Here is a 13,936-nt window from a genome sequence, read left to right as displayed (position 1 = left end):
GGAGGGGAGGGGCGAGCGAGCGGCGTGGGTCGCGTGGGGTGAGCCCTTCGTGGGGCGGGGTCCTCAGCCGTGACGTCACCGCGCTGCCCCGCGTGGGCGCGGACCCCATGGAGGCCCTGCCCCGTGCTGGAGCACGTGCTGTCAGTGTCCTGATTTTTTTTTTTTTTTTTTTTTTTTTTTTTGAGGTGGAGTCTCGCTCTGTCGCCCAGGCTGGAGTGCAGTGGCGCCATCTCGGCTCACTGCAAGCTCCGCCTCCCGGGTTCAGGCCATTCTCCTACCTCAGCCTCCCGAGTAGCTGGGACACAGGCACCCGCCACCACGCCGGCTAATTTTTTTGTATTTTTAGTAGAGACGAGGTTTCACCGTGTTAGCCAGGATGGTCTCGATCTCCTGACCTCGTGATCGGCCCGCCTCGGCCTCCCAAAGTGCTGGGATTACAGGCGTGAGCCACCGCGCACGGCCAGTGTCCTGATTTTTTTACCCAAACGTTTCCCAGCCTCCTGTCCTTCCCACAGGCCCCTGCACTTTGGCTCGCCCCCGACATCTGAGCCTGCACTAAAATAAGGACCAAACCTCGAGTCACCTGATCCCGAAAATGGGCGGACCCCAGGGAGCCCCTATCCTGTCTGGCCTCGCTGGATTTGTTTTTTTGTTGGACATTGTTTTTTGTTTTATTTATTTTTTTATTTTGAGACGGAGTCTCACACTGTCGCCCCGGCTGGAGTGCAGTGGCGTGATCTCGGCTCACTGCAACCTCCGCCTTCAGGGTTAAAGCGATTCTCCTGCCTCAGCCTCCCGAGTAGCTGAGATTACAGGCGCCTGCCACCACGTCCGGCTAATTTTTGTATTTTTAGTAGAGACGGGGGTTTCACTATGTTGGCCAAGCTGGTCTTGAACTCCTGACCTCGTGATCCGCCTGCCTCGGCCTCCCAAAGTGCTGGAATTAGAGGCGTGAGCTACCGCGCCCGGCGGACATTCTTTAGATCAAGAAATCCGGGGCCGGGCATGGTGGCCCAAGCCTGTAATCTCAGCACTTTGGGAGGCCGAGGCGGGTGGATCACGAGGTCAGGAGATCGAGACCATCCTGGCTAACACGGTGAAACCATCTCTACTAAAAATACAAAAAAATTAGCCAGGCGTGGTGGCGGGCACCTGTAGTCCCAGCTACTCGGGAGGCTGAGGCAGGGGAATGGCTGAACCCGGGAGACGGAGCTTGCAGTGAGCCGAGATGGCGCCACTGCACTCCAGCCTGGGCAACAGACGGAGACTCCGTCTCAAAAAAAAAAAAAAAAAACAAAATCCAGGCCAGGCGTGGTGGCTCACACCTATAATCCCAGCACTTTGGGAAGCTGAGGTGGGTGGATCACCTGAGGTCAGGAGTTCAAGACCAGCCTGGCCAACATGGCGAAACCCTGTCTCTACTAAAATACAAAAATTAGCTGGGCCTGGTGGCGCGTGCCTGTAATCCCAGCTACTCAGGAGGCTGAGGCAGGAGAATCGCTTGAACCTGGGAGGCGGAGGTTGCAGTGAGCTGAGATCCTGCCACTGCACTCCAGCCTGGGCAAAAGAATGAGATACTGTCTGAAAAAAAAAATTAAATTTAATTTAAAAATAAAATTAAATAAATAAATTTGGGATAAACCAGTTAACTGTCTCTCAATCTCTCTCTCTTGTTTTTTTTGTGTTTTTTTTTTTTTGAGACAACGTCTTGCTCTGTTGTCCAGGGTAGAATGCAGTGACAAGATCATAGCTCGGCCGGGTGCAGTGGCTCACGCCTGTAATCCCAGCACTTTGGGAGGCCGAGGCGGGTGGATCACGAGGTCAAGAGATCGAGACCATCCTGGCCAACATGGTGAAACCCTGTCTCTACTAAAAATACAAAAATTAGCTGGGCATGGTGGCGAGCGCCTGTAGTCCCAGCTATTCGGGAAGCTGAGGCAGGAGAATGGCTTGAACTAGGGAGGTGGAGGTTGCAGTGAGTTAAGATCGTGCCATTGCACTCCAGCCCTGGTGAAAGAGTGAGACTCCATCTCAAAAAAAAAAACCAAAAAACAAAAAACAAAAAAACCAGCTCACTGTAAACCAGAACCCGTGGACCAGTTAACTCTTTTTATTTTTTGTAGACAGGCTCTACCTATGTTGCCCAGGTTGATTTTGAACTCATGGCCTCCCGCCAGGACCCCAAAATGCTGGGATGACAGGCATGAACCACCGTGCCTGGCCCACTGAACTCAATATGCTTACAGAATGCAAATGCATTTGAATTGAGGAGTCTTCGCCCTCACAAAGTTGTTTATATACCCATGGGCGACCTCTCTGTCACCTTCTCATGAGATACCTGAAATTGTCCTCACACAGACCCGGCAGGTGGTGTTTAGCCTCTTCCTCAATATTTTATATACTTTTTCCAGAAAATGAAATTTTAGTCCATCAATACATTTAATTATGTATATTGCACGTATTTTATCAAGTTCTGGCAGTTTTGCAGTTATGTTTAGTTTCTCAGAAAAGCAATATTATCACTTCCAATGACAAGATTTACTTCTACCGTTACATTCTTTTTATCTATCATGGTGATTTTTGACGATGTTACATTCAAGCAGGGATAAATAATTGAAGTGAAAATGGGTGTTCCTTTCACTTGGAAGCCTGCTGGCACCTACCTGTTCTTCTCATGTTCTGTAGCCAGACCTTCTATGAGTAGCAGGCTGGCCTGTCAGTCATTGTGTCTGAAATTGACCAGAGAAATTTTAGCAATGGAAAGTAATTGAAAAAAATGTGGCCGCCTACTTAGAAGGTTTTATGCAAGTTGGGCCAGATGTGGTTGCTCACACTTGTATTCCCAGCACTTTGGGAGGCCAAGGCAGGAGGATCGTTTCAGTCCAGGAGTTCGAGATCAGCCTGGGCAACATAGGGAGAGCCCATCTCTATAAAAAAAATACAAGCCGGGCGCGGTGGCTCATGCCTGTAATCCCAGCACTTTGGGAGGCCGAGGCAGGTGGATCATCTGAGGTTGGGAGTTCAAGACCAGCCTGACCAACATGGAGAAACCCTGTCTCTACTAAAAATACAAAATTAGCCAGGCATGGTTGTGTGTGCCTGTAATCCCAGCTACTCAGGAGGCTGAGGCAGGAGAATGGTGTGAACACGGGAGGCGGAGCTTGCAGTGAGCTGAGATAGTGCCACTGCACTCCAGCCTGGGCGACAGAGCGAGACTCCGTCTCAAAAAAAAAAAAAAAATGTTCACAGTCCAGAGAAAGCCTACAAATGCAAAGAATGTGGGAAGGCCTTCTTTCGTTCCTTCTACCTGATCATACATGCCAGAATGCACACGGGAGAAAAAGCCTACAGGTGTGTGGAATGTGGGAACACCTACAGTTGGCCCTCGGACCTTAGGGTTCACATGAGAACACACTCTGGGGAAAAGCGCTGTGGATGCAAACAGTGTGGAAAATCCTTCAGTTCTCCCTCCTCCTTTAAGGGACACATAAGGACTCACACTGGAGAGAAACTGTACACCTGTAGGGAATGTGGGAAAGTCTTCAGTAGTCCCTCATACTTCCGAACACAAGTGAGAATTCACATTGGAGAGAAACCCTATGTGTGTGAGCAGCGTGGGAAAGTCTTCAGTTGGTCATCATCTTTTCGAGGACATTTGAGAACTCACAGTAGAGAGAAACCCTACGAATGTAAGGAGTGTACAAAAGCCTTCGGTAGACTCTCGTCCTTACAAAGACATAAGGATTCACATTGGAGAGAAACTCTCTAAATGTATGCAGCATGGAAAAGCTTTCTGTGGTCTCCCATCCTTAAAATAACACATGAAAACTCACACTGGAGGGAAACCCTATGTTAGTAAGTAATGTGGCAAAGGTTCCGTGCGGATGACTTACTGTACTGAATAAATTCAATACCGTTAGAAAATGTTTATAAAGGTCTTAAGTCGAGCCATGGGTTTATTAGTGCCTTATGTTAAAGTAGACCTCTAGCCCATTATTTCTCATTCTTTTTGAGAGAAACAGCTGGTAAATACTCCTTTAAGTGTTTGCAAGGGGTGCTGTAACAAATCACCACAAAGTTGGTGGCCGAATGAAACATATTTATTCTCTCATAGTTCTGCAGGCTGAAAGTTTGAACTTAAAGGTTATTTATTTTCGTTTTTTTTGTTTTTTTGTTTTTTTTTTTTGAGACGGAGTCTCCCTCTGTCTCCCATGCTGGAGTGCAGTGGCGCGATCTCGGCTCACTGCAAGCTCCGCCTCCCGGGTTCACACCATTCTCCTGCCTCAGCCTCCCGAATAGCTGGGACTACAGGTGCCCACCACCATGCCCAGCTAATTTTTTTTGTATTTTTAGTAGAGACGGGGTTTCACCATGTTTTTTGAGGGTTTTAGTCTTTAGTATTAGAAAATGTATATTCAGCATTTTTTTTACTCAGTGGACACAGTATTTCATGATCCTGGCAGAAATTGCAAAATACAAGGCTGTGGCCTAGGGACACCCTCATCTGACTCATTTTTCTCTTTTACCCTTTTCTGTGTCTCCCAGCTCCTGGCTGGGAATTGGACACAAAAGTTATGAAGTAAGAAGGTAGACCTTGTTATTTGAAGATGATAAAATCTAGAGTACATCATGTGTTGTACAAGATTTCCCATGTCAACGTCGGTACTTTTTTTTTTTTTTTTGGAGGCAGAGTCTCACTCCCTAGCCCAGGCTGGAGTGCAGTGGCGTGATCTCTGCTCACCGCAAGCTCCGCTTCCCGGGTTCACGCCACTCTCCTGCCTCAGCCTTCCGAGTAGCTGGGACTACAGGCACCCGCCACCATGCCCGGCTAATTTTGTATTTTTAGTATAGACGGGGTTTCTCCATGTTGGTCTGGCTGGTCTCAAACTCCCGATCTCAGGTAATCCACCCGCCTCAGCCTCCCCAAGTGCTGGGATTACAGGCGCGAGCCCCCGTGCCCGGCCTGTCCTCATGTTCTTGACTGTACCCTGAAAGTTACAATTATGGCATCAGGAAATTGTTTCCTGATTGTAGTGTTGGGTGGTTGCATTTACCCTGTACTTTTTGTTTCTGGACAATACATATGAGAAGTATGCACTTTGTAGATATACGAAACAGATTATAGGAGTCTTCTGTCATTCAGAGCTGAATGCAGTTTCTAAATGATAAACTTGTGTTATCATAATTTTTATGTTTGCAAAAATAATCTACTTTTTTGCCAAACACAAGGTTCTGTAGGTATTTCTTAGAACAATCCTAGAACTGTTTTTATATTTGCTGTAAACTTAAAATTTTAACTATCTTTCATGTATTGAGAAGGGATATGTTAAAATATTCCAGTACAATTATGGATTGTCAAATCATGTGTATAACTGTATATTTTTAAATATGTTCTGATGCTATAGTGCATGTTCCAGAATTTTTATGTGAATTTTTAAACTCTTATAATGTTAAACATTTTTCTCATTAAAATGACTTATTCAGAAGAAGAAAAGCTCACACATTAATTATGTCAATGCTCACCAGCCCAAACCCATGAGAAACACAACTGCAGTTGAACAAAGTAGGGTCTGTTGACTTATTTCACAATGAGGTGACCACACAGCATGAGGAATGGAAATCTCAGAAGTTGCATGTTAGAAGGCTGGGAGCGCCAGGTGTGGTGGCTCACGCCTGTAATCCCAGCACTTTGGGAGGCCGAGGTGGGCACATCACGAGGTCAGGAGTTCGAGACCAGCATGGCCAACACGGTGAAACCCCGTCTCTACTAAAAATACCAAAATTAGCTGGGTGTGGTGGTGCGCGCCTGTAATCCTATCTACTCGGGAGGCTGAGGCAGGAGAATCGCTTGAACCCGGGAGGCGGAGGTTGCAGTGAGCTGAGATCGCACCACTGCACTCCAGCCTGGGTGACAGAGTGAGACTCCATCTCAAAAAAAAAAAAAAATTTGGTATTCTTTCTTCTTTTTTTTTTTTTTTTTTGAGACAGAGTCTCACTCTGTCGCCCAGGCTGGAGTGCAATGGCCTGATCTCAGCTCACTGCAACCTCCGCCTCCCGGGTTCAAGTGATTCTCCTGCCTCAGCCTCCCGAGTAGCTGGGATTACAGGCGGCTGCCACCACGCCCAGCTAATTTTTGTATTTTTAGTAGAGACGGGGTTTCACCATGTTGGTCAGGCTGGTCTCGAACTCCTGACCTCGTGATCCACCTGCTTCGGCCTCCCAAAGTGCTGGGATTACAGGCGTGAGCCACAGCGCCTGGCCTGTTTGCATAATTTTTTATTCCGTGTAATGACATGATTACACAGTACTCTTTGTGAAGCAGGTTCAGTGTGCACTGGTTAGCAACTTATCTGACTCTGGTGAGAGAGAACACCCACATACAACAAGTTACATGGAACTCGTTGAGTTACATGGAATTTCATGGGTTTATTACTTACAGATAGGCAGCAAGGGACAACAGAAGCCTACAATTCATTGTGAGCTGCTCCTCCAAGGCTCAGACAGCTGCCTGGAGCAGATGGAGTCTCAAATGGAGCAGATGGAGCCTCACTTGCACTCCATATTAGGGACCCCAAAAGGCAGCCTGCCCCAGGTGATATACCTCAGGGGCAAGAGAACATGCTGGGCTAAAGCAGAACATCCTGTTCTTGCGGGGACTAGAGCAGAACCTGAGTGTTCTAGCCAGCTCCCCGCTTATCTCGGAATGTTGCATTCCCAGTACATTCTTTCTTTTTTTTTTTTTTTTTGAGATGGAGTCTGGCTCTGTCGCCCAGGCTGGAGTGCAGTGGCGCAATCTCGGCTCACTGCAAGCTCCGCCTCCCAGGTTCATGCCATTTTCCTGCCTCAGCCTCCTGAGTAGCTGGGACTACAGGCGCCCGCCACCATGCCCGGCTAATTTTTTGTATTTTTAGTAGAGACGGGGTTTCACTGTGTTAGCCAGGATGGTCTCGATCTCCTGACCTCGTGATCCGCCCGCCTCGGCCTCCCAAAGTGCTGGGAGTACAGGCGTGAGCCACCACGCCCGGCCAATTCTGTATTTTCAGTAGAGACGTGGTTTCACTATGTTGGCCAGGCTGGTCTCGAACTCCTGACCTCAGGTGATCCGCCCACCTTGGCCTCCCAAAGTGCTGGGATTACAGGCATCAGCCGCCGTGCCCGGCTGCATTCCCAGTACATTCTAGTTATTCTTGAGAGCTACAGTCAAGAGTGGGGAAGATTGGGTCAGTCTCAGGCCACCTGGAGAACTTCCCTGCACTCTTGTTTTTGCTTTGCTCATTCTCACCCCGTGGCCCCATCTGATGTCGGGGTGGTGTAAAATCATTGCTGTTCAACAGAATCATGTGGCGTGGGACGAATGCCAGGCCAGGTCCCAGTTCTCAAGGGCTGATTTTTCCTTCCATGTAAAGAGTTGAATATTGCTTACCATATATCTGGTATGGTTTTGTTTCCTATAATTCAATGAACATATATAAATTCACTTAATCTTCCAAAACTATAATGTAGATACATTTATTGTCTCCTTTTGTGGGTAACAGACTTACAGATTACAAAGCTAGCAAGTTATAAGGTAGGATCAGGATTCAGAACAAGTCTTCGTAGGCTGGGTATAGTAGCTCACGCCTGTAATCCCAGCACTTTGGGAGGCTGAGGTGGGCGGATCACTTGAGCTCAGCAGCTCAAGTCCAGCCTGGGTAACATGGAGAAACCCCATCTCTATAAAAAATACAAAAATTAGCCATGTGCAGTGGCATGTGCCTGTAGTTCCAGCTACTTGGGAGGCTGAGGCAGGAAAGTCACTTGAGCCCGGGAGTGAGCCGAGTTTGTGCTACTGCACTCCAGCCTGGGCAACAGAGAAAGACTCTGTCTCAAAAAAAAAAAAAAAAGAAAAGAAAAAAGAAAAAGAAAAAGAAAAGAAAAGAAAAGAAAAATTCCTTCTAGCCCAAAGACCATGATTTTAACCTGATCCTACTTTTTGAGCCTCTCTTATATACCAGGCATTGTAAGCTCAAAACAAAAAATTAGGCTGAAAAGTAATCAAGACACAGCAGGCTCTCAATATAGAATAAGTCCTCGCAGTTCGAGGGCGTGTATTTTTCTGGGAAAAGAGATTTTTTTTAAAAAGTAAAGATTTTAATGTAACAAGTAGAGACTTGATATAAAAAATACGGGTCTTGGGGACCAGGCGCGGTGGCTCACGCCTGTAATCCCAGCACTTTGGGGGACTGAGGTGGGCGGTTCATGAGGTCAAGAGATCGAGATCAGCCTGGCCAACATGGTGAAACCCCGTCTCTACTAAAAATACAAAAATTAGCCGGGCCTGGTGGCAGGCACCTGTAATCCCAGCTACTGGGGAGGCTGAGGCAGGAGAATCACTTGAACCCGGGAAGTGGAGGTTGCCGTCAGCCGAGATCCTGCCACTGCACTCCAGCCTGGCGACAGACCAAGATTTCGTCCGAAAAAAAAAAAAAAATGGGTCTTGGAAGAAAATAATCCACAAGGGAGATAATCGGGAAAACAGAGGGACGTATTTTGCATTTTTTCTATGGATGGTGGGGCATTGGAGAATGAGGATGTATTTATTAATTTATATTTCCATCACTCAGTATGTGTTAAGTAAACACTATCACAGGGACTGCTCAGGGTGTTTGTAAATAGTGTGGAGTGATACCCAGTCCTGCATTCATGGAGTTAACAGAGTAATAATTTCCTACAAAATAAAACTCTCATGGTCCATCTTTATTTATTGATTGATTTTTTGAGATGAAGTCTTGCTCTGTTGCCCAGACTGGAGTACAATGGCGCAATCGTGGCTCACTGCAACCTCCGCCTCCCAGGTTCAAGTGATTCTCCTGGCTCAGCCTCTTGAGTAGCTGGGATTACAGGTGCCCGCCACCACACCCGGCTAATTTTTTGTATTTTTAATAGAGATGGGGTTTCACCGTGTTAGCTAGGATGGTCTCGATCTCCTGACCTCGTGATCTGCCTGCCACGGCCTCCCAAAGTGCTGGGATTACAGGCGTGAGCCACCATGCCTGGCCGGTCCATCTTTATTTTTGCAATGCTCAAAAGCTTTAGGTAATATGATATGTACCTATGAAGTGAAAAGGTCACCAGAGTCTCACCAGTTATTCGGGCCATCAAGTGTGGCTGTTTATAGAGTCCTTTTGAATGAATTGTAAATTGTATTAAAGAGGTGGCCTTCTCAATTTGCTGCTAGTGTAGTCTGAGAGAATCTGTAGCCTAGGAAGCCACAGAGTTGCCCCTGGTTTGTAAAAGGATGTGGTCATCTGCACGGTTTTAATCCAGCATGTGCCCTTTCCTACAAGCAGAATGATAGCTGTGCAAGTTCTTGGTGATCCGGTAGATGCAAGAAGAGCTGTGGATGGTAAGGGAGAGTCTAGGAATAATGAAGGTGAGCTGCAGACACTGTGTCATTTTGAACAGCGTCCCAATTTAGTATCAAAGGATATTTGGCATTCTCAAAAATACTTTGATACTAAATTGGGACGGTGTTCAAAATCCCAAATTTTGGAAAATTTTAATGCCCTTTTATAGGAGATGGTAGTTTTTGTTTTGTTTTGTTTTTGAGACTGAGTCTCACCCTGTCACCCAGGCTGGAGTGCAGTGGCACAATCTCGGCTCACTGCAACCTCCGGAAAGGCCAGATTTTTTTCTAATGAGGCATAATGCCCAAACAGGAGCACATGCTGCTCTTCACACTCATTATTTCCATATGCTCAATTTTCCGATACATGTCACAGCAAAGCAGAAATACAACACCTTTTTGCTGAATTAAACAGCAAGTCGGCCAGGTATGGTGGCTCACGCCTGTCATCCCAGCACTTTGGGAGGCGGAGACAGGTGGATCACATGAGGTCAGGAGTTCAAGACCAGCCTGGTCAACACGGTGAAACCCGTCTCTACTAAAAATGCAAAAATTAACTGGGCGTGGTTGCGAATGCCTGTAATCCCAGCTACTCAGGAGGCTGAAGCAGGAGAATCGCTTGAACCCGCGAGGCGGAGGTTGCAGAGAGGTTGCACCATTGCACTCCAGCCTGGGCGACAGAGCGAGGCTCCATCTCAAAAAATAAATACATATAAATAAATAATAAAAATAAACTCACCTGAACCTTTTTAGATAAGCAAAACCAATTTTTTTCCACTTCCTTGGCAACCGAACAGAGAATGGCGTGAGAAAGAAGAAATCGCGAGCCGTCATTGCTTTCTTGGAACCCAACCTGAAATTAAGAAAGGCCACCAGGGCCATGCCTCTCTCACCTCAGACACAGATTCAGAGAGAAGCGAGAAGGCACCTCTGTCCCCAAGTTCCTGGGGCCTGAGCTCTGCACACACCGTAGGTCTGAAACGTGAACTTCCCTTTGAGGGTCATCCTGGGCGGAATTCCAGTCCTTAGGTATCTGCACGTATTCCCAGGCTTGAGGCCATTTCAACCCTAAATCAGGAATTCCAAGTCTGGTTTTGTGTCTTCTGACTACGAATCTTGCCTAGAGATGCAAAGGTGTGACCGGGTGTGCTGGCTCGCGCCTGTAATCCCAGCACTTTGGCAGGCCGCGGTGGGTGGATCACCTGAGGTCAGGAGTTCGAGACCAGCCTGGCCAACATGGTGAAACCCCGTCTCTACTAAAAATACAAAAATTAGCTGGGCGTGGTGGTGCGCGTCTGTAGTCCCAGCTGCTCGGGAGGCTGAGGCAGGAGAATGGCTTGAACCTGAGAGGTGGAAGTTGCAGGGAGCCAAGATGAGGCCACGGCACTCCAGCCTGGGTGACAGAGCGAAACTCTGTCTCAAAAGAAAAAAAAAAAAAGAGGCCAGGCGCGGTGGCTCATGCCTGTAACCCCAGCACTTTGGGAGGCCGAGGCAGGCAGATCACAAGGTCAGGAGATGGAGACCATCCTGGTTAACACGATGAAACCCCGTCTCTACTAAAAATACAAAAAATTAGCGGGGCGTGGTGGCGGGCGCCTGTGGTCCCAGCTACTCGGGAGGCTGAGGCAGGAGAATGGCGTGAACCCAGGAGGCGGAGCTTGCAGTGAGCCGAGATTGCGCCACCGCACTCCAGCCTGGGTGACAGAGCGAGACTCCGTCTCAAAAAAAAAAAAAAAAAAAAAGAGAGATGCGCAGGTGTCTCATCTTAAGCGTATTCCCCTGGAGGCCTGCCATGTGGCAGTGAGGTGACCGGAAGTAGAAAACGAGGACAATCAGACCTCGAACTCACACCCCTCAGCTACAGGAACCGGCGCTGCCACCTCGTCATTTCAGCATCAATCCTGCAGGCGTCACGCTACGTCACATCCGGGAGAGGCCGCGCTGCCGACAGGTGCAACATGCGGCGGCGACGCCCCACTCTAGTCCCGAACGCTAGCCTGAGGCTCGGGACCGCACATGCGCATTCCCCACGGAGGCCACCGCCCCCTGGCTTCCTGGTAGTCCGTGGACACCAGGCGGTGTCTGTGGTCCCCTCCTTCTCGGGCACCTTGCTCGTCCACTGCTTGGGGCACCACTCGGGGAACCCGAGCGCTTTGGAAATGTGGTTCAAAAAAGGACAGCCCTTAAACGCTAGGGTCCCGCCCCTCAGATTGCTCCCAGCATGCAACGCGGCCCCTCCTCCAAAGCCGCTGTGCCCTGGAGGCAGCTGGGAGCTCCAACCGAGCATGGTGCACAGGTGCAAGCGGGTTGTGCTTCCTGTTTGGGGAGTTGTGTCGTTGGTTTTCCGGAAAGCTCGGAAGGAAGGGGCTCCACCACAATAAGGATTTGTGTATCTAAACATACCGAGCCATGCAAAAGGCACAGTTTTCCAAAGACGTTGTAGCAACTTAGCATTTTTTTAATTTTTATTTATTTTTTCTTTTTAGAGATGGGGGGGGTGGTCTCACTGTGTTGCCCAGGCTGGTCTTGAACTCCTGGGCGCAAGCGATCCTCCCGCCTCAGCCTCCCAAAATGCTGGGACTACAGGCGTGAGCCACTGTGCCAGCCACAACTTAGCATTTCTGTTGCACATATTCAGCAATAGCATTTTCCTGGATGTTTTGGGCTTTCAGTCAGTATGGTAGGGAGTAGTAGTATGTCATTTTCGCTCTAATTTGCATTTCCCTTAAGAAAAAACTGAATTATCATTTAAATATTAGCCACTTGGACAAGCTTCCTTTGTGAATGATTAATCAAATCTGTAATTTTACTTCTCTATTGTGCTGCCTGCCTTCTTAGTAATTTATAGGAGCGTTTAGACTCTGTATGCAAGCCCTTTGCCAGATCTGTGTATCGCACGTTTCTTCTTCCATTCTATAAACTCTCTTTTCACTCTGCTATGGTGCCTTTTGTTTTGTAGCTTCTAATATCTGTTCATTCTATTTTATGGTGTTTTTGTGTTTTCAGAAATGTTTGCTTATTCCAATTCATGATCTCTTATGTTTTCACATTTATCTTCGGTGATAAATCTGGAAACAATTTTCATTTATGGCATGATGTAGAGGTATAGATACATTTTATGTTTGTGTAAAGTTCCTGGCTAAGGGGCAGAGGCAAGGACATGACCAAGCAGACACATATTGGCTGGAAATGCTCTCAGAGAAAGCGGGAGAAGCTCAGCTCAGATCCACGTGGAGATGTACTGAAGAGTTCCGGTAGATGGCGGGTGGTACCAAAGCAGAAAAAATGGTTGTAACCATCAATAAGGCCACGCAGCACTAAATGCCAGCCTACACTGACAGCCACTTGGCAAGACACAAGGTCCAACAGTAGAGGACTTTACAAAGGTTCCTGGGCCCCACGTGTGTGTAGAATGGGTGGGCTGCTTCAGCCATAGCCTTGGTCTGAGCAGCTTCCTAAATACTACAGCCATTGGCTTCGCTTGCTTGAGCTGGTTTAACCCTCTTTTATTAATTCTGACCGATGCTCTCTGCTACCATCTAGTGATAACTAATGAAAACGCAGACTACTTAAAACCTTAAAACAACTGATGTCAGGCTATTTACAAGACTGCAGAGGACAATGACTTGTGCATTTTAGAGCTCAAGCCAGAATAACCTTGCTCTTTTGTGATGGGTTTGACTTTCTTTCATATTGGATTAAATCTAGACTTACTGATGGTGCAGTAAAAATTGACACTTGTGTGCACAAAAAGAGAAAAATGACACCGTCCTGTTTTATGTGTGAACATTGTTACTTGCCGTAAAGTTCCCCATGGTTCCCGAGATAAAAAGACATCGTGAAAGGCCCTATAAAAACGAATGCGAAAAAACCACCCCAATTTGTGCCCGTGTGGAACTGGAGAATGGCAAAGATGAGCTGCCTCTGCCCAGTCCTGGATAAATATCAGGTTCCTCAGCAAAATAAATGTGGTTGTTGTGATCTAAATTTTAGGGGGGCGGGGGCAGGCGCGGTGGCTCACACCTGTAATCCCAGCACTTTGGGAGACCGAGAAGGGCGGATCACCTGAGGTCAGGAGTTTGAGACCAGCCTGACCAACCTGGAGAAACCGCGTCTCTCCTAAAAATACAAAATTAGCCAGGCGTGGTGGCACATATCTCTAATCCCAGCTACTCGGGAGGCTGAGGCGGGAGAATCGCTTGAACCCGGGAGGCAGAGGTTGCGGTGAGCCGAGATCGCACCATTGCACTCCAGCCTGGACAATAAGAGCAAACCTCCGTCTCAAAAAATAAAAAATAAATAAATAATTTTGGGGGCGGCATTATGCAGCCATAGAAAGTCAGAACACTGGCATTATGTGACATGTCCTTCCATCCACACCAGGTGACCCTACTAATGTATGAAGTCTTTGAATTTGGCTCTAATTTTGAGATAGTTGTATTTTTAATCACTTTAAGGAATTATTTTCCTAAACAAGTATTTTTACGCTTGATCTTACCCAAAAGGCCGAGAAGCGATCTAAACAAGTATTTCTAAACAGAAATAGAAATT

The 13,936-nt window shown here is 47.4% G+C and overlaps 1 pseudogene, besides 2 other annotated features; it reads left to right on the top strand.

Moving 5' to 3' along the window:
• Nucleotides 103–152: a silencer, noted in NCBI's record as "silent region_9816". NCBI's record gives its function as "represses an Ori minimal core promoter by ATAC-STARR-seq in GM12878 lymphoblastoid cells {active_cell/tissue: GM12878}" and the evidence as "EXISTENCE:reporter gene assay evidence [ECO:0000049][PMID:35858748]".
• LOC100419704 (zinc finger protein 57 pseudogene) lies at nt 3,242–3,872 on the top strand (annotated as a pseudogene).
• Nucleotides 12,706–12,883: a silencer, noted in NCBI's record as "fragment chr19:2887583-2887760 (GRCh37/hg19 assembly coordinates)". NCBI's record gives its function as "represses an EF-1alpha promoter that drives an FKBP-Casp9 reporter gene in an ReSE screen in K562 erythroleukemia cells {active_cell/tissue: K562}" and the evidence as "EXISTENCE:reporter gene assay evidence [ECO:0000049][PMID:32094911]".

Source organism: Homo sapiens, chromosome 19 (assembly GCF_000001405.40).
Source record: "Homo sapiens chromosome 19, GRCh38.p14 Primary Assembly".
Lineage (NCBI taxonomy): Eukaryota > Metazoa > Chordata > Mammalia > Primates > Hominidae > Homo > Homo sapiens.
Note: the sequence above shows the minus strand (reverse complement) of the source record. Positions and strands in the feature narration are given on the sequence as shown.